Consider the following 19633-nt stretch of genomic DNA (forward strand, 5'->3'; position numbering starts at 1 on the left):
GGAAAAATAAAGACAGGTGATGTGGCCACCCAAACACCATAATAGCTATTCAGTTAGCTGTGTTGCAAGTTGTAACATATTCCACTATATGAACACAGTCAAATTCTATTTCTTCATCTTAAAGTGTTGTTGGAAGTTGTCAGATGTATTTCAATATAGAACCCCCATTCAGTGGCTAGGAGATGAGAGAGCAGCAGAGATGGAAAAGAAACTTTATAAAATTCTTCTGAAAATCTGCCCTCTTTCTTCGTAATGCTCATGTTTCTCATGATGAGAGCAGCTGTGTACTTTGGGTGGTTAGAGAGAAATTGCTTTTAGGGGAACATTTTCTGGCTCATTTGATCAATCTGATATCTAACCTGAGCTTTTTTAAAAGATCTTTTTTACATTTTTCTCTCAAAATAATCTGGCTCAGATGGAGATCTGTTTTTCTCTCCAATGCTTTGGATGTCTGTTTCAGAAGCCCTATTACTATCCTATGGTGTCCAAATGAGGTGGACTCTCACAGTGAGAACTTTTGGAGCTATCTCTATCTGGACTCATGCTGGAAATTCAGCAGTATTTTTTCCTTGTCACCATTACAAGTAGAAACTGAGGCTGAAACACTGCTCACATTCCCATGATTGTGAAGGTGCAATTCTACCCATGAGGCCTGCAGGCTCTCCTCCTGCAGCTCAGGCCTCACTCTGATGTGACACTGGAGTGCTGCTGTGGCAAATGGGGTTCATATAAAATGTGAGCTGTGCTCTGAACTGTGCCTCAGTGGCAGATGGTAGAGGTCAAGAGAGGAAGGACACTAGCATTCAGGAGAAAGCAAGCAGGAGTGCTGTAGCCCAGTGCCAGGGAGTACAGAGCCACTGCTTTAAAATGTAAATAGCCAAAAAGATAGAATGCTACTCAGCCATTTTTGTAGCAGAGTGAAATCCTGCCTTCAGCAGACACCTGGCTTCAAGCTGCTAAACTACATCCTGTTATGAAGATGTGAAAAGTTTGTCATTGAATATAAGCAATTAACATACACAGATGGCCTCTTCAATCTCCAGGTGAATTTAGGATGAACTATGTATGACATGGTGCTGGAAATTCTTCTAATTGTAGACTAATTATGGTGACCATCTTTCTGTCTTTGGAGCCTCTTAAGCAGATTGACGATGATGCATATCACATTCAAGTTCAATTGTGTAATAAAACCATTTTCTTTCTTTTGTCTTATTGTGAAGATTTTCTGGGGCTGGAGGAAATTTTTCTTTTAATTATTGTTTCCAAACACTGTCTAGAATTACCAGACATGATACAAACACATAAAGTGCCATCCAAAATTTACTCTAGAGGGGACTTTCCCTCTCTGGCTTCCAGTCAGCTCAGAGTTGTGCAGCAAAGTGCATGCTGTCCCCTAAATATGCAGGCAGAATTGTGTCTCTGCCTTTTTGGCATCTATAGTCCTCTACAGTCACTTCTAGAGAGGCTAGATCACATTTCTACCAACTTCACTGGGCAGTGATCAATCGTTTTATCTCTCTTAGAATGACTCTTGCATCTTCAGACCTGAAACTGATTCAGACATCATGGAGCTCACAGACCGAATCAGAGTAACGTGTGCATTGAATAGATGTGTAGACAAGAATCTCCACTTTCCCCTTTGTCTTTTTGCTAAAATCCTTACAAATGTGCAGGTAACACCTGCTGCTACTCCAGCCATTCAGGTCCTAAATCTGCAGCTCCACATTTTGAATCCAAGTTTTTGAGATTTGGGAAATAAAAAACTTTTATCTGACAAATGTAAGTCCTTTTGATTATCAAACTCAGAGAGACGTTGAAAATAAAGTGCAGTTATGTATTTCTCCTCCCTTTGAACTATGTATTCATCTCTTGAAACTGTTCACTATTGTCACAGGTAGCTATAAATTAAGCTAATAGTGCCACATTGGACACTATATCCCATACCCTAAACCATAACTATATATATATATATATATTATTATATATATATATATATAATCAAGTTTATTTCTGTTAATAAATAAAAATATCTGACAACTTTGTATCAGCCCACTGTGTCCCTGTTTTGTTGTCTTTACCAATCCTCTTATAACTGCTGCTAATCAAAGTGTAGATTCCAGGCAACTTGAATCTTTGCTCCCAGGTTATAATCCTTAAGCTTGACCCAAATAAACTGTCTACTTATATTCATGTTGTGTCAGCTTTTTTTTCTTTCATGTAGACTTACCATTTAGAATGTGCTAGAGCAGCCTCTATGAGGGGATCTTTTCTTTGATTGTATTCCACTTGCTGTAACACCAAAGGATGCAGAGCCAGGTGGATCCTACCTAGAATCTGCAGATAAGTTCTGGCCTCTACCACAGATTTACAAAAAAGGGCCGGACTTTGGATTGTGAACGTACAGAAAACTAACAAAAGGCATTTTCTGTATTGTGAGATGTCAGCATAGACATCCTACAGCCCCCATTTGGGAATGTGGCTCTGTGAGATTTTTCACATCTTGTTCATTGACCTGCTACAGTTATGTCAGAGGCTCTAGGAAGAAATAGAATCTGATGGCAGAATCTGTAAGTGTAAATAAGCATCTTAGGAGTGAGAGATCAAGGCCACAAAGTATCCAGAGCCATGACCACAACTATATTTACCTGTAAAATGGGATACTGGAGTAGAGTATTTTTGTTCTTTCTCTTACCCAAAGAGCTAGCAAATCAGAACAGGTGATCCAGGTTCTGGAGCTCCACCAGTGCAGTTCTGTTTTTTATTTAGAATCAGCCCGAGTCTCTCCAGCCTGGCTTATCATTGGGCCATCAGCCCTGGGACACTGGGAATTCTCTCACAGTCTCCTAGGTGTATTTGAGGTATTTGAGGATGTCCAGAGCAGAATTGTGTCAGGCTGAAAAGTGTGGTTAATTCTGCTTCTGTCTCAGTGTAAGAGAAATGAGTCATCCTGTGTTTGTTCATCCTCTCATACAAGAGGTTTCTTTGGTTGGTACCAAGATGAGAGTTTCTCCAGTTTCTGGTGCTTGAATGAAACAAGGATGAGATCTGGAGACCCAAATAGATAAAGTATTTCCTTACATCTCATATAACCATTAAAAAAAATGAAGCAGTCATGGTTCCTACAATCCAGAAACTTTTAGTCTAGATTAGCTACTGGATAAATAATTGAATTATGTGTCATATGGTTGGTGCAATAAATAGATGTGTCCAAAATCTTGGGCTTTATTTAGACCACTTTCTTTATATTGTTGTGACTTGTGATGTCTACACCTGTAGGGATATTCATGAACAGAAGAATTGTTATTATAATTAATTTTTGGTTTTTTGAGATAGAGTCTCTGTCGCCCAGGATGGAGTGCAATGGCGGGATCTCAGCTAACTGAAACCTCGGCCTCCCGGGTTCAAGTGATACTCCTGTCTCAGCCTCCAGAGTGTCCGGGATTACAGGTGCCCACCACCATGCCCAGCTAATTTTTTGTATTTTTAGTAGAGATAGGGTTTCACCATGATGGTCAGGCTGGTCTTTAACTCCTGACCTCAGGTGGTCTGCCCGCCTCGGCCTCCCAAAGTGCTGGGATTACAGGCAGGAGCCACCGCGCCCAGCCACATATTTATTTTCTAATAAAATTAGCCTAGGAAGGCCTGGTGCAGTGCCTCACACCTGTAATTTTAGCACTTTGGGAGGCCGAAGCGGGCAGATCACAAGGTCAGGCGTTCCAAACCAGACTGGCCATTATGGTGAAACGCTGTCTTTACTAAAAATACAAAAATTAGCTAGGCATGGCGGCACACGCTTGTAGTTTCAGCTACTCGGGAGGATGAGTCAAAAGAACAGCTTGAACCTAGGAGGCGGAGGTTGCAGTGAGCCAAGATCATGCCAGTGCGCTCCAGCCTGGGCGACAGAGCTCCAAAAAGAAAATAAAAATTACCCTAGAAAACCTTTGGGGATTTGTTTAAATTGCATAGTAGTGTATAGTATAAAGTTGACAGGGCGGTGGCTAGAAAATATAAAAATTACAGAAACAGGCCGGGCGCAGTGGCTCACGCCTGTAATCCCAGCACTTTGGGAGGCCGAGGCAGGTGGATCACGAGGTCAGGAGATCGAGACCATCCTGGCTAACACGGTGAAACCCCGTCTCTACTAAAAATACAAAAAAATTAGCCGGGCGTGGTGGTGGGCGCCTGTAGTCCCAGCTACTTGGGAGGCTGAGGCAGGAGAATGGCGTGAACCCGGGAGGCGGAGTTTGCAGTTAGCCGAGATCGCGCCACTGCACTCCAGCCTGGGCGACAGAGAGACTCCATCTCAAACAAACAAACAAACAAATTACAGAAACTCTGAGATTTAAGTTTCTTTTAGATAAGCTTAGAAAAAACAAAACTGGAAGTACCCTAGTGGCATAGAGAACAGAATTCTACATAGGGTTCTCACCCTATCCTAGGTCTGTTAAGATTCACCCTTTTTGGAGGCCTTATTTAGGTCTGCCTCTATCCTGGAGTCTTGCCTCACAGAACTGATCAGAAGAGATCAGAGTTTTGGCTGGTGAATCCTGCTGCCTTTCTAGAGCTGGTGCTTAGAATTTACTGAAACTCAAAAGCAGATAAATCAGAAAAACAAAGTATGTATTAGAGGGTGTTAGTTTTTAAGTTTTCTATGAATCCAGTGCTAACAGAGACATTCTATTTAGCAACTTGGTTTCTATTCCTGCAGATCCAGTAGTTGCTCCTCAAGTCACAAAAAAAGAAGTAAATATAAACAGAATAAAATTTTCTCTAAACTACATTAAACTCTTTCTTTCTTTCTTTCTTTTTTGAGATGGAGTGTCTCTCTGTCGCCCAGGCTGGAGTGCAGTGGTGGATCTCGGCTCACTGCAAGCTCTGCCTCCTGGGTTCACGCCATTCTCCTGCCTCAGCCTCCCAAGTAGCTGGAACTACGGGCACCCACCACCACGCCCGGCTAATTTTTTGTATTTTTAGTAGAGACGGGGTTTCACCGTGTTAGCCAGGATGGTCTCGATCTCCTGACCTCGTGATCCGCCCGCCTCGGCCTCCCAAAGTGCTGGAATTACAGGCGTGAGCCACCGCGCCCAGCCATTAAACTCTTTCTTTCTTTATCTTGAAATCTGTCTACATTTAGCTTTTATTCTATGTAATTTTTTTAAAAAGTTGATGATGGAGAAACAGAGGAAGAAATAAAAATGCTGGGCCCTTTATCTAAATCCTGGAAATTATTAAACCCTTAGTACCAGCTTCCAGGGTATTATGAGAACTAAATCACATAATGTGTTATGCCCAGCACAGTGCTCTGTATCATATTCTTGAGCACATTGTACCTCATTAATAAACATTGCATTAGTACATGTGTACATGTTGTTTTTTAAATATAGACTTATTCAGACATTGCTGCTTTCTGTTTCTTCTGTAAACTTTAAAGAGCCAGCAAAGAATATAAAACTTTAGGATGGAGTTGGGTTGTCTTTATTTGTACCAGAAGTATTTGGTTGTGACAAGAGTGCTGAGTGTAAGCGACCCTGTGCTGTGCCTGCTTCTCTAACTAATGCTAACAATGAGCCCAGGGGGAGCAACATCAGCATTGACAGAGAACTTGTTTAAAACACCCATTTATGGACCCTTTTCAAACCTGCAGAATCATATTACATAAAGTGGAGTCAAAATTATCAAGTGATTTATAAGCTCATTAAAACTTTACAGGCAGTGCTCTCATTCATGAGAGTTAAGTTCCACCTTTGCACTAAAGGGTGGTCACAGGGCCTGTTCTGTTTGGGTTTGGTAGGGATAGGTCAGTGTGGCACATATTTCCATTACTGTAGCAAAAATTGCTGGTGTCTGTGGCAGGGGAGGGCACCTGAGGACAGGAAAGGAGAAACTTATATTTTTATCTTCATGAAGCAGCTCATTGTTCCTGAATCTCTTCTGTTTTAAAGGACAGAAAAGGGTGGACTTTTTCTGTGTTTTTTTTCTTTCTGCCATTTGATGTCATGCTAGCAGGTAAACAGGTGGTGCTGACACTTTTAAGGGCATATTATCAAGATACGGGTGTAATTTGTACAGAGAATCTCGTCTGAGAAGGAATTCCAGAGAAGCAAGAGAGGGAAAAGTGGCTTTTCTGTTTCAGATCAAGAGCTGTATTCACTCTGCCTCCTCGAATGCTATGCATTTAGTACTCACAAACTTTTACTTCTCTACTTTTGCTTTTTTTTTAATGAGTTTGGTTTAAGTACTTCTTAAAATTCTTATGATAGTCAAGAGTCTCTGTAAAATATTTATTTTCTATACCTTAGAGCCTTCTCTACATTTGCTGCATCATAGCTTCTTATATGCCATGCAGGATTCTCAGCAAGACTTTATAATCTGCAATATTAAAAATGTTCCCTTCGTGGCTGTTGAACATGGAAAGACGTGGATACTCAAGATTTCTATTGGGGAAAACTGTGGTCCTTAGTAAAGATGGAGAACATGTAATGTTGAGGCTCCATCTGTGTGTTCCATTAGCTCTATGCAGAATAGGATTAGGGAAATGCTTATTTAAAAGGGATGGCAGTTATTACCCAGAAAGTTCTGAAAGAAAATTAAGGTACCTGCTCTCTAGGGAGCTAAATGAAGCCTACTTAAAATTCCTACTAAAAGTTACAGAACATAGGAGTTATCTATATTTTGAAGTTAGCATAAAACATGTTTCTTTATGGTTAAATTCAGATTTTATTTACTTTCTTTGGGAGGAATATTTCAACAGTGATGCTGTGTTCTTCTTCTTCTTCTTTTTTTTTTTTTAAGAAGAGTTTCACTCTCATTGCCCAGGCTGGAGTGCAATGGTGCAATCTTGGCTCACTGCAACATCTGCCTCCCAGGTTCAAGCAATTCTCTTGCCTCAGCCTCCTGAGTAGCTGGGATTACAGGCATGTGCCACAACGCCCAGCTAATTTTGTATTATCAATAGAGACGGGGTTTCTCCATGTTGGTCAGGCTGGTCTCGAACTCCCGACCTCAGGTGACCCACCCATCTCGGCCTCCCAAAGTGCTGAAATTACAGGCGTGAGCCACCATGCCTGGCCGATGCTGTGTTCTTCTGTGTGAATTAGCACATCATAAAAATTTGTCCTAGTGCAGTTAAGGGTTAATGATTCACTTGGTGACATAGCTCTCTGACAGATTTTTTTTTACAATAGAGTTAATTATTTCTCTCTTCATTAAGTATTTTTATGCAGCTGATGTGCATAAACCATCACACTTAATCTGGCGTCTATCCTTTCTTCTCTTTTTTGCTACATATTTTTCTTTGGAAAATGAAGGCTCTTATCTTTGTTTACAGGCCAGAAAAACTGGGAAAAACACAGGCTCTTCCATTTACTCAATGTTTGACAAAATACCGTTCTTGGGCCAAAAACATTCGCATTAGAGATGAGCTTGTCAGAAATTCAAAAAGTCAGACTTTATGCCAGATCTTCCGGAATAAAAAAAAACCCTGCACAACAAGGTCTTCAGCTTATTGTGTATATTAAAATTTGAGAGGTGCCTTCTAACTCAACACATCTTTTGCATCTGAAAAATATTCACAACTCATTCCATATGATGCAAATATAGCACTAAAAAATGTTCATGTTCATGCCCTTAATTTTATGCTCTATTATCTAAAAAATATCATATATAAACTGATGTTATGGATCTTGTGCCGCTCTTTTTTCTCAGAGTTAGAGGATACATTAGAGAATATTTTTGGGTTGAAAAATATTTTATTGGATAATTTTAGGCAGTCCTTTGAGTCAGAACCAGTTCTCTTTACTCTCTAATTTCACCTTAAGTCAAATTAAAAATTCCTCTCATGCCATTTAGTAATTATGTGTGTGTGTGTGTTTTCCAGGGACCATTGCAATTTAGAGATGTGGCCATAGAATTCTCTCTGGAGGAGTGGCATTGCCTGGACACTGCACAGCGGAATTTATATAGGGATGTGATGTTAGAGAACTACAGAAACTTGGTCTTCCTTGGTGAGGACAACTTGAATATATAATTCATAATATACCCTGAAGATTTTATTTCTCTTTTTTGTAGAATGTTTGTTAGTAATTTATTCTTTGCAAAGTGGTAGAATTACAGGCATAAGCCACTGCGCCTGGCCATATTTTATTTATATTTCTGTATAATTTTTATTATGACCACAAAGATAACCCTGTAATCAATAACAATTTAATTGTACATTCACAATAACTAAAAGTGTATAATTACACTGTTTGTACTACAAAGGATAAACGCTAGAGGTGATGGATACCCTATTTACCCTGATGTAATTACTACATATTGTAGGCCTGAATCAAAATATTCCATATAAGGCATAAATATATACATATACTGTATGCCCACAAATACTAGAATAAATTTCAGTAAGAACAAAGAATAAAAATTTAACCGATGGGAAAAATGTTCTTCAACTCATTTGCAGTTTAAAGTCACTGGCAAAGTGATTACTAGACATGATATTCCACTATGTACCAAATAGTATATTGCTACCATGTTTTACCTACATGCTTGAGTAAGGTGGGATATGTCAAAGTTGGTAGCATAATAATGCTTCATTAAGCAAACAATAGTCTTAACATGGTAAAAAAAAATTAAATAAAATTAAGTTCACACATAATCTAATAATATTTAAATGTACTGCATTTTATTACATAAAAATGCAATTAGTATAATATACAAATTTGATACTTTTAACTATAATTTTTCTCTTTAATGTAGAAAAGTATTTCTCTGAACCCCCACCTTATTTTTTATCATTGTTTATTAATAAAGTAATTCATTATGTTTTTGAAAAAAAGTTTTAAAATGTTCTGCGTACATGTTAATGTAGGCTAGGCCATCCAAAAGACAAAGCAAAGCATCAACATTAAGTTTGAGAAATGAGAACATGAACCCCTACCTCATACATTACTTAGTATAAGTTAACTACAAAGAGCCTCTCCACTTACATTTTCATCATGCATCTTACATTTTAATGTCCTTACTCTTTTATAGAAAAAGTCACAAATAACGCCCAATAAAAAAGAATCTGTAGTATCTCTGATGCAGCAACAATTGATCACATGCTTTCACTTGTGAATACAATAGGAATAAAATAACAGCATAAAGTAATCTGAAAACTGTATTCACTCTAAATTAGTGGTAACTCCAGAAATTTAGTGGCATAAAATATTGTTGCCCCACCTGAAAATCTAATTGCTACCACTAATTTTTGATTCAGTAGTATCAGATAGTAAAATAAGAAACCTACAAATTGAAAGTATTTTCTAAATATTTAGAAATTTCTGTTATAAATTATTATTTTGGTATTGATTTACTGGAATATTTTATCACATCCTCTCTGCTGAGCACAGTACTAGCTTGTAATGGGAGTATATGAGCAAGATTCATGTTATTTATTTTTAATAAAACAGGTATTGTTGTCTCTAAGCCAGACCTGGTTACCTGTCTGGAGCAAGGAAAAAAACCTTTAACTATGGAAAGACATGAGATGATTGCCAAACCCCCAGGTAGGTACGAGTGAAAACGAATACAACAGATGACACAGATAAAAGGTCCCAATGTCAAAGAGAAAACCAGTCTTTAAAATGTGATTCTGGAAGCTGTGTTCCAAAGGAAATAGGTCCTGGGCAGCTGTTTTTTTTTTTTTTTTTTTCTCCCACAAAGGGGCATCTTCTGTCTTATGCTTTTAAATTCTCTAAGAATTCTACTTCTCCTTTGGTGAGCTTCCTTCAGGTTCACAGTGAGAGCCAAAGTCCTCTTCATGGCATGTAAAAGGCTGCGCGGGCTAGGAGTGGTGGCTCACCCCTGTACTCCCAGAACAGTGGGAGGCCAAGGCAGGTGGATCACGGGAGGTCAGAAGTTCGTGATTAGCCTGACCAACATGGTGAAACTCCGTTTCTACTAAAAATACAAAAATTAGCTGGGCGTGGTGGTGGGCACCTGTAATCCCAGCTACTTGGGAGGCTGAGTCAGGAGAATCATTTGAACCTAGGAGGTGGAGGTTGCAGTGAGCCGAGATCATGCCATCGCACTCCAGCCTGGGCAACAGAGCGAGACTCCATCTCACAAAAAAAAAAAAAAGAGAGAATGAGAGGCTGCACAGTCTGGCTGCTTTTCCATTGTTTTGGGGACACACAAATATCTGCATAATTTTGAGAAACTAAAACTATTTTTTTAAGTCCTCTTTTTGCATCAGGTCTGAAATGCGTGAGAGTATTAGTTTATCTTGCATTTTTTTTGTTTATTTTTCTGCACAGTCCATTCTGTTTTTATTTCTATAAAGTCTTCAAATATAGATTGAAATTGTAAGTATGATATTCTTCTGCTTTGTTCCTTTTCCTCAAGACTGTTTTGGCTATTCAAAGTTTATTTTAGTTTCATGTAAATTTTAGAATTGAATTTCCATTACTGTGAAAAAAATACTGCAATTTTGATAGGAAGTGTATTGAATCTATAGATCACTTTGGATAATATGGCACTTTATTAATATTTATTCTTTCAATCCAAAGACATAAAATATTTTAAAATTTATTTGGATCTTCCTTTTTTATTTATTTTTTATTGTAAAGGTTTTTTACATCCCTGGTTAATTTTTTTCTCAGAAATTTATTATGTAATGCTATAGTAAATAAGATTTTTTTCTCTATTTTATCAGATAGTTTGTTTTAAGTGTATGAAACTGTAGCTGGGCGCAGTTTAAGTGTATGGAACCATAGCTGGGGGTGGTCTCCCAAAGTACTAGATCACGCCTGTAATCCTAGCACTTTGGGAGACCAAAGTGCATGGATCACCTGAGATCAGGAGTTCGAGACCAGCCTGACCAACATAGAGAAACCCTGTCTCTGCTGAAATTACAAAAATTCACTGGGCATGGTGGCGCATGCCTGTAATCCCAGCAACTCGTTAGGCTGAGATGGGAGAATCGCTTAAACCTGGAAGGCAGAGGTTTCAGTGAGCCGAGATCACCCCATTGCACTTCAGGCTGGGCAAAAGAGCTAGACTCCTACTCAAAAAAAAAAAAAAAAAAGTGTATGAAACCATACATATACTTATGTATGTTAATTTTATGTTTTGCTAATTTACTGACTGTATTTATTAGTTTAGACAGGGTTTAATATACTGTTTATGGTTTTTTAAATATGTGATTGTATGATCTACAGACAGCAACTTTTTACTTACTGTTTTTCAATTTCAATGGATTTTTTTTTATTTCTTTGACTAATTCTTCTGCCACATACTTCCAGTGCTACATTAAAATAGAAGCATCGGCTGGGCTCCCTGGCTCACACCTGTAATCCCAACATGTTGAAAGGGCAAGGCAGGTGGATCACCTGAGGTCAGGAGTTCGAGACAAGCCTGACCAATATGATGAAACCTCGTCTTTACTAAAAATACAAAAGTTAGCCGGGTGTGGTGACATGCACCTGTAATCCCAGCTCCTTAGGAGGCTGAGACAGGAGAATCGCTTGAATCAGGGAGGCGGAGGTTGCAGTGAGCCAAGATCACACCATTGCACTCCAGCCTGGGCAACAAGAGCGAAACTCCGTCTCAATAAAAAAAAAAAAAAGAAGAAGAAGAAGCATTGACAATGGGCACAATATAGTTTTGTATTGGTATCTAAATTTGATGGAGCAAACACCTCTTCAAGTTTTCATAAACTGATTTTAGAAGGTAAAGATCTTCTTTTATTGGGCCCTTAGGGTGATGAGATATTCTGTGAATTTTTAGTGAAGAGGGGTTGTAGCTTGGTCACAAGGCTGCTGGGTCTACCTTTGGGTCCACCTTTAGTTGGCTTGCTACAGGGGCTTGGGTAGTTGTAATTCCATTTTATTTTTAGACAGACCGAATATCCTTACAGGTTCAAGCAGTTCTCATGTCTCAGCTTTGCAAGGAGCTGGGATTACAGATGTGAGTCACGGTGTCCGGCCTTAGTGTAGGTTTCTTAACATCAGTTTATTGTGTCTTGGTTTTAATTTGTATTACAATTTTAGACAATTTGCAATTCTGTTTGTACACTTTAAGTCAATTTGAGGTTTAATTAAGAGATAAATTGCTGGATGCGGTGGCTCACGCCTGTAATCCCAACACTTTGGGAGGCTGAGGTGGGTGGATCAAGAGGTCAGGAGTTGAGACCAGCCTGGCCAACATAGTGAAACCCTGTTTCCACTAAAAATACAAAAAATTAGCTGGGCATGGTGGCGGGCACCTGTAATCCCAGCTACTTGGGAGGCTGAGGTAGGAAAATTGCTTGAACCTGGGAAGCAGAGGTTGCAATGAGCCGAGATTGCACCATTGCACTCCAGCCCAGGCAACAGTGCGAGACTCCGTCTCAAAAAAAAAAAAAAAGATAAATTATGCATGTTTATTACAATCAGATTACATATGTATGTGTGTTTATCTATAAATATGACCCCAATTTTAGTTATGGCTTATCTTATATTCTTTCTTAGCTGATTTTCCATGGTAGTTTTATCTTAAGTGAGCAGTCATTGAGATAGTTTTATTTTTTCCATGTGTTTAATGATGAATATATATTTCCTTTTGTGAGAAAAGCACTTTTGTGATTTGAAGGTAATTTTCAAAAGGATTTATAATTCTGTATTTTTTTCTGTTTTTCTTTAAAACTTGTTTTAAAAACACATAACATAAAATTTAATGTCTTAAATCTATTGAAGTGTACATTTCAGGGCCAAGTGTGGTTGTGGCTCTCATCTGTAATCCCAGGATTTTGCGAGGCCAAGGCAGGAGGATCCCTGGAGCCTAAAAGTTTGAGAGCCGCCTGGGGAATATATGGAGACCTCTCTCTATAAAAAAAATTTAATAATAGCCAAGCATGGTGGTGTGCACCTGTGGTCCCAGCTACTTGGGAGATTGAGAGGGATTCAAAATTGTGCCACTACATTGCAGGTTGGGGGACAGAGTGAGACCCTGTCTCAAAAAAAAGTTGTTCATTTCAGGCATGTTAAGTATATTCACACTGTTATGCAAAAGACTTCTAGAAACTTTACATCTTATAAAGCTAAAACTTAATTCCCATTAAGTAACAACTGCTCATTTTACCCTCTCTCCAGCCCTGACAGACAAACCTTCAACTTTCTGTTTTATGATTTTTGACTACTTATGATACCTCATATAGCTGGGTGTGGTGGCTTACACCTGTAATCCCATCACTTTGGGAGGCTGAGGCAGGCAGATCACCTGAGATCGGGAGTTTGAGACCAGCCTGACCAACATGGAAAAACCCTGTCTGTACTAAAATACAAAAAAATTAGCCAGGCATGGTGGCGCATGCCTATAATCCCAGCTCCTCGGGAGGCTGAGATAGGAAAATCGCTTGAACCTGGGAGGTGGAGGTTGCAGTGAGCCAAGATCGGGCCATTGCACTCCAGCCTGGTCAACAAGAGTGAAACTCCATCTCAAAAAAAAAAAAAAAAAAGATACCTCATATAAGTGGAATCATATAGTATCCATAATTTTGTTACTGGTTTAATTCAGGTGACATAATATTCTCAATCTTCATCTTAAAATGTGACAAGATGGTTATTTTTAAGGTGGAATAATATTCCATCATATGTATATGTTACATTTTTTGATATGTTTATAAATCAAGGGACATCTGGGTTGCTTCAGCCTTTTGACTTTTGTGAATACTGGTACAATAAACATATATTTTCAAATATGTCTTCCAGGTCCTGTGTTACATATTTTGTTTCTTTTGTTGTTTGTTATTTTTATTTTTATTTTTTTTTTGAGATCGAGTCTCCCGCTGTCACCCAGGCTGGAGTGTAGTCGTGTGATCTCAGCTCACTGCAACCTCTGCCTTTGGGGTTCAAGCGATTCTCCTACCTCAGCCTCCCAAGTTCCTGGGATTACAGGTGCACGTAACATCACCCATCTAGTTTTTGTATTTTTAGTAGACATGGTGTTTCACCATGGTGGCCAGGCTGGTTTTGAACTTCTGACCTCAGGTGATCTGCCCACCTTGGCCTCCCAGTGTGCTATGATTACAGGCTTGAGCCACTACACTTCGCCTGTGTTATGTATTTTAGATATAGATTTATAAATAAGGAACATTTCTAACATTTTAAAATAATGGCTGCATCATTATTTTCCACCAGCAGTCAACATGGGTTTCATTTTTATTGCATCATCAACAGATTTGGTGTATCAAAAAAAAATTATAGTGGCCATTCTAATGGGTATGAGGTGATTTTGTTTGTTATGTTTCTTTTTTCATTTCTCTACAAATTAGTAATTTTGTGTGTGCTTTCAAATGCATTTTCCAATTTTGTGTATTTTTTTGAGAAAAATTTGTCCATTTCTAAATCAAGTTATTCAAATTTACTGTTAGTTTTAAGAGTCATTTATATATTTTGAATATTAACTCTTTTAACAAGTAATATGTAAATGTTTTCAACTATTTTCTAAGGGACGTTGTCACTCCTGAAATTTTTTTCTTTCAGAAATTTTGAAGTATAGTGTAGTTAAACTTTTTTGTTCTTTTATTTGTTGCTCATACATTTAATGTCGTACCTAAAAAAATGGTGCCAAGACCAATGTCATGTCTTTTTTTTGTATTCTTTCTTTCTTTCTTTCTTTCTTTCTTTCTTTCTTTCTTTCTTTCTTTCTTTCTTTCTTTCTTTCTTTCTTTCTCTTTCTTTTCTTTCTTTCTTTCTTTCTTTCTTTCTTTCTTTCTTTCTTTCTTTCTTTCTTTCTTCCTTTCTTTTCTTTCTTTTCTTTCTTTTCTTTCTTTTCTTTCTTTCTTTTCTTAGATGGAGTCTTGCTCTGTCCCCCAGGCTGGAGTTCAGTAGCGCAATCTCAGCTCACTGCAAGCTCTGCCTTCTGGGTTCACGCCATTCTCCTGCCTCAGCCTCCCAAGTAGCTGGGACTATGGGCGCCCGCCACCATGCCCGGCTAAGTTTTTTGTATTTTTAATAGAGACGGGGTTTCACCATGTTAGCCAGGATGGTCTCGATCTCCTGACCTCATGATCCGTCCGCCTCGGCCTCCCAAAGTGCTGGGATTACAGGCATCAGCCACCGTGCCCGGCTTGTTTTGTATTTTTTCTAAAATATTTGTTAGTTTATTTTGTCTAAGTATTTTATTTAAAATGTATTTTTGTATCATTCAAGGAAATAATCCAACTTTATTTTATCAGTGTTGATACTGTAGCTTTTAACTGTTGTATTGACATCTTTGAACAATGAAATTTTTTGACCCCTGAGCAAGAATGTTGAAGTGTGTTTTATATTCACATGCTTTTGAATTTGCCATTTGACTTTTGCTTTTAATTCCTAATTTCATTCAGTTTTTGTTAGAAAACACACAGTGTATAATTTTAGTCTTTTAAAATTGTTTTGTTGTTGTTGTTTTGAGACAAGATCTTACCGTCATCCAGGCTGGAGTGCAGTAGCATAATTTTGGCTCACTGTAGCCTCAGTCTCCTGGGCTCAAGTGATTCTTTCACATCAGTTTCCTGAGTAGCTAGGATTACAGACATGCACTACCATGTCTGGCTAATTGTGTGCTTGTTTGTAGTGTTAGGATGTCAATGTGTTGCCCAGGCTGGTTTCAAACTTTTGGCCCCAGGGGATCCTGTTTTCTTGGTCTCCTAAAATGTTAGGATTATAGGCAAGAGCCACTGTTCCCAGTATTTTAAAATTTAATAAAACTTGCTCTGTGTCCTAACAGAATACACCAGATGCAAATAAGAATATTGTGTATTATCTTGGTTTTGACTGGAGAGTTTTGCATGTGTCTGTGAAGCCTAGTTGGTCTATAATATGGGTTGGATATTCATGTTGTCCAAACCTCATGCTGCAATATAAATCCTCAATGTTGGTTATGGGACCTGGTGGGACACGTTTGGATCATGGGGCAAATTTCTCATGAATGGCTTGGTATATCCTCTTGGTAACCAAAAACTTTTCACTCTATTAATTCAAATGAGAGCTGGTTCATTAAAAGAACCTGGGTCCTTCACCTCACACTTGCTCTGTCTCTTACCATATAACATGTCCAGTTACTCTTTACCTTCCACCATGATTTTAAGCTTCCTGAAATCCTCACCAGAAGCAGATGCTGGCACACACTTCTTATACAGTCTGCCAAACTGTGAGCCAAATAAACCTTTTTTCTTTATAAATTATGCTACTCTCAAGTATTCCTCTATATGCAAAATAATTAATATTGTCTATAATGTTAGCTAAGTTTTTTTCTTATTTTTTATCTGAATTTTATATTTATTACTGCAAATGGAGTCTTGATGTCTACAATTATTATGTTGCCATGTATGTCTTGCTTCACTTTTGTCAATAGTTGCTTTATATATTTTGGAGCCCTGATGTTATATACACACATTTATATAGATAGATAAATATTACGATTATAGATTCCTGCTAAATCAACTCACTTTACTATAAAATAATACCAGTCTATGTCTCATGGTAGTATTTGACTTAAGGCATATTATGTCTAATATAATTATGACCACATCACTCAATTGTGGTTACTATTTTCATGGAATATACATTTTTTTTTCATTTTTTATTTTCAGCCTATTTGACTCAATGCAAAATGAGTCTCTTGTAGGCAGCGTACTGTATGCTTTTTAAAAACCACTCAGGCATTCTATTTTTTTATATATAATTTTATTTATTTATTTATTTTCTTTTGTGATGGAATTTCACTCTTGTTGCTCAGGCTGAAGTGCTATGGTGCGATCTCAGCTCACTGCAACCTATGCTTCCCGGGTTCAAGCAATTTTCCTGCGTCAGCCTTCTGAGTAGCTGGGATTAAAGGCATCTGCTACCACACCTGGCTAATTTTTTTGTATTTTTACTAGTGACAGGGTTCCACCATGATGGCCGGGCTGGTTTTGAATGCCTGACCTCAGGTGATCTATATATTGTCCTTCTTCGTCTTTTTGAAGTTTTGACTTAAAGTACATTTTATAAAATATGACAGTTTTTGACTTTAAGATGTAGCTTGTGTAATATTATTTTGACCTCTTCTGCTCTCATTTGGTTAATATTTACATGAAATTTCTACTTCTGTCTTGCCACTTTCAGTCTTTGTCATTAGATCTCAGGTGACTCTTGTAGAAAGGCAAGTTGGATCTTGATTTTTAATTTTTTTTTTTTTTTTTTTTTTAGAAGAAGTCTCACTCTGCCACTCAGACTGCAGTGCACTTGTTCAAGTGATTCTCCTGTCTCAGCCTCCTGAGTAGCTGGGATTACAGGCATGCCCCACCACGCCTGGCTAATTTTTGTATTTTTAGTAGAGATGGGGTTTCACCATGTTGATCAGGCTGATAAAATTTTTTAATAAACCTTTTTATTGAAAGTATGTTTCTTGACTGGAAAGATAATTATATATATTTAAATAGTTTTCCGAAAGAGAAAAACTTACTAATGTTATCTATTTATTTATTTATTTATTTTGAGACGGAATCTTGGTCTATCACTCAGGCTGGAGTGAAATGGCACAATGTTGGCTCACTGCAACCTCTGCCTCTAAGGTTCAAGTAATTCTCCTGTCTCAGCCTCCTGAGTAGCTGGTATTATAGGCACCCACCACCATGCTGGCTAATTTTTGGTATTTTTAGTAGAGATGGGGTTACTCCATGTTGGCCACGCTGGTCTTGGACTCCTGACCTCCAGTGATTCACCCGCCTTGGTCTCCCAATGTGCTGGGATTACAGGCGTGAGCGACTGCGCCTGGCCAACGTTATTTTATTGTTTTATTTGATTCTTTTATCTTTGTCTCTTTTTCTCTTTCTGTCTTTTTGTGTTTTTTTTTTATTTTTGTATTGATATGCTTTTAATTTTTTTCTTATTTTCTTTTGTGTATCTAGGCAGGTAGTTTCTTAGTGGTATCTAGGGGATTACATAAAACCTCTAAAAGATCCAACAATATACTTTAATGCAGTAAAAAATTAACTTCAGTTGCATGCAAACATTCTTCATTACATCTGCCTTCAACTTTGTTATTGATTTTGCTAATTCTACTTATGTTATATATTCATTAACAGATGTTTATAATAATTCCTCTACTTCCATCTTTTGCATTTTAGAGAATAACTAAAAGTGCTTTCTGTGCCATTATGATAATAAGTAAGGAATTCTATTTTTGTGTATGTGCATATCTTCTCCAGAAAGTTATGTATTTTCATATGATCATGTGTTGTTTTCTTGTATTATGTTATTTTCAGTGGAAGAAACTTCTTTCAGCATCTTTGATAGGTAGGGCATATGCAGTGCCAATATACTTTCTTAGGATTTGGTTATTTTGGAAGGACTCCTTTTTATATGATAGTACAATTTTGCCGATGGTATTATTTTCTGCAAAAATTTTTTTTGATAAATTCACTGGTTATCTTATAAGACTATGCTTATAAATGACACATCATTTTTATCTTGCAGCACCCAAAATTCTTTTCTTATCTGTGATTTTTGAAATTTTGCTTATAGGTGTGTTTGTGATAAATATCTTTTTGTGTATCCTAGTTTGTTCAGCTTCTTCATGTTTACATTATTTTTTCTTTTAAGAAATTTTTAAGTTATTTTTATATTTTTTATATCCATAATTTTTGTTTTTTTCTATTTTAATATTTTTTCTTGTTTATCCTCATTTTTCTGATCTTCAGTAGTCGTCTGTGTTCCTATTTCACTTACTGAATATCATTCAATTTCTTTTATGTAATTAATTAATTTATTTATTTTCTGAGACAGAGTCTCACTCTGTTGCCCAGGCTAGAGTGCAGTGGCATGATCTTGGCTCACTGTAACCTACCCCTCCCAGGTTCAAGTGAGTCTCCTGCCTCAGCCTCCCAGTAGCTGGGATTACAGGTGCATGCTGCCACATTTGGCTGATTTTTGTATTTTTAGTAGAGATAGGCTTTCACTCTGTTGGCCAGGCTGATCTTGAACTCCTGACCTCAAATGATCCACCCACCCCAGCCTCCCAAAGTGCTGGGATTACAGGCATGAGCCACTGTTCCTGTCCTACTTTATTTTTTTTTTGAGACAGGCTTGCTCTGTTGCCCAGCCTGGCCAGCAGTGGTACAGTCACTCACTGCAAGCTTCCCATCTTGGGTTCAAGCAGTTCTCGTGTGTCAGTCTCCTACGTGGCTGGGATTACAGGCACATGCCACCACGCCCAGCTAATTTTTGTATTTTTAGTAGTTACAGGGTTTCACCATGTTGGCCAGGCTGGTCTCAAACTCCTGACCTCATGTGATTTTCCTACCTTGGCTTCCCAATGTGTTAGAATTACAGGAATGAGCTTCCAAGCTTGGCCTGTTCAATTTATTCTGAATTTTAAAAATTACTTTATTCACTTTTTATGGCTGCTTTTGAAAATTTTATAATTTTTTTGATGGGCCATGCTGCCCAAATATTTTGTATACATTGTAATCTTTGAGTGAGATTCAGGCATTAACAAAAAGCTACCTGTGCCAATCTTTATAATATAGTTTTGTCCTTGTGTAGTCTGAAATCAATTGTTTTGGCTAGAGATTCTGGGAATTTCTCAAACATGTTTTTAGGATGTGTCTTGTCTAAAATTTTGTGTTTATTGTTTAGTTAAATCGGCTTAT

The 19633-nt window shown here is 37.8% G+C and overlaps 1 protein-coding gene and 1 pseudogene across 3 annotated transcripts in view; one reads left to right on the top strand and one right to left on the bottom strand.

The window, feature by feature from the left end:
• The window catches only part of ZNF253 (zinc finger protein 253), a 28845-nt gene that overhangs the window by 4775 nt on the left and 4437 nt on the right, over nucleotides 1-19633 (top strand). Inside the window, exons 2-3 of one of the 3 annotated variants that reach the window (NM_021047.3) lie at nucleotides 7877-8003; nucleotides 9447-9542. The exons of 1 other annotated variant lie outside the window; for it this stretch is intronic. In NM_021047.3, coding sequence (NP_066385.2) covers nucleotides 7877-8003; nucleotides 9447-9542 — 223 coding nt within the window. The remainder of the gene's footprint in view (nucleotides 1-7876; nucleotides 8004-9446; nucleotides 9543-19633) is intronic. One more of the 3 variants, NM_001331133.1, reaches the window with a different exon arrangement.
• On the bottom strand, nucleotides 120-679 carry BNIP3P10 (BCL2 interacting protein 3 pseudogene 10; annotated as a pseudogene).

The sequence above is a fragment of the Homo sapiens genome, chromosome 19, assembly GCF_000001405.40.
Source record: "Homo sapiens chromosome 19, GRCh38.p14 Primary Assembly".
NCBI lineage: Eukaryota > Metazoa > Chordata > Mammalia > Primates > Hominidae > Homo > Homo sapiens.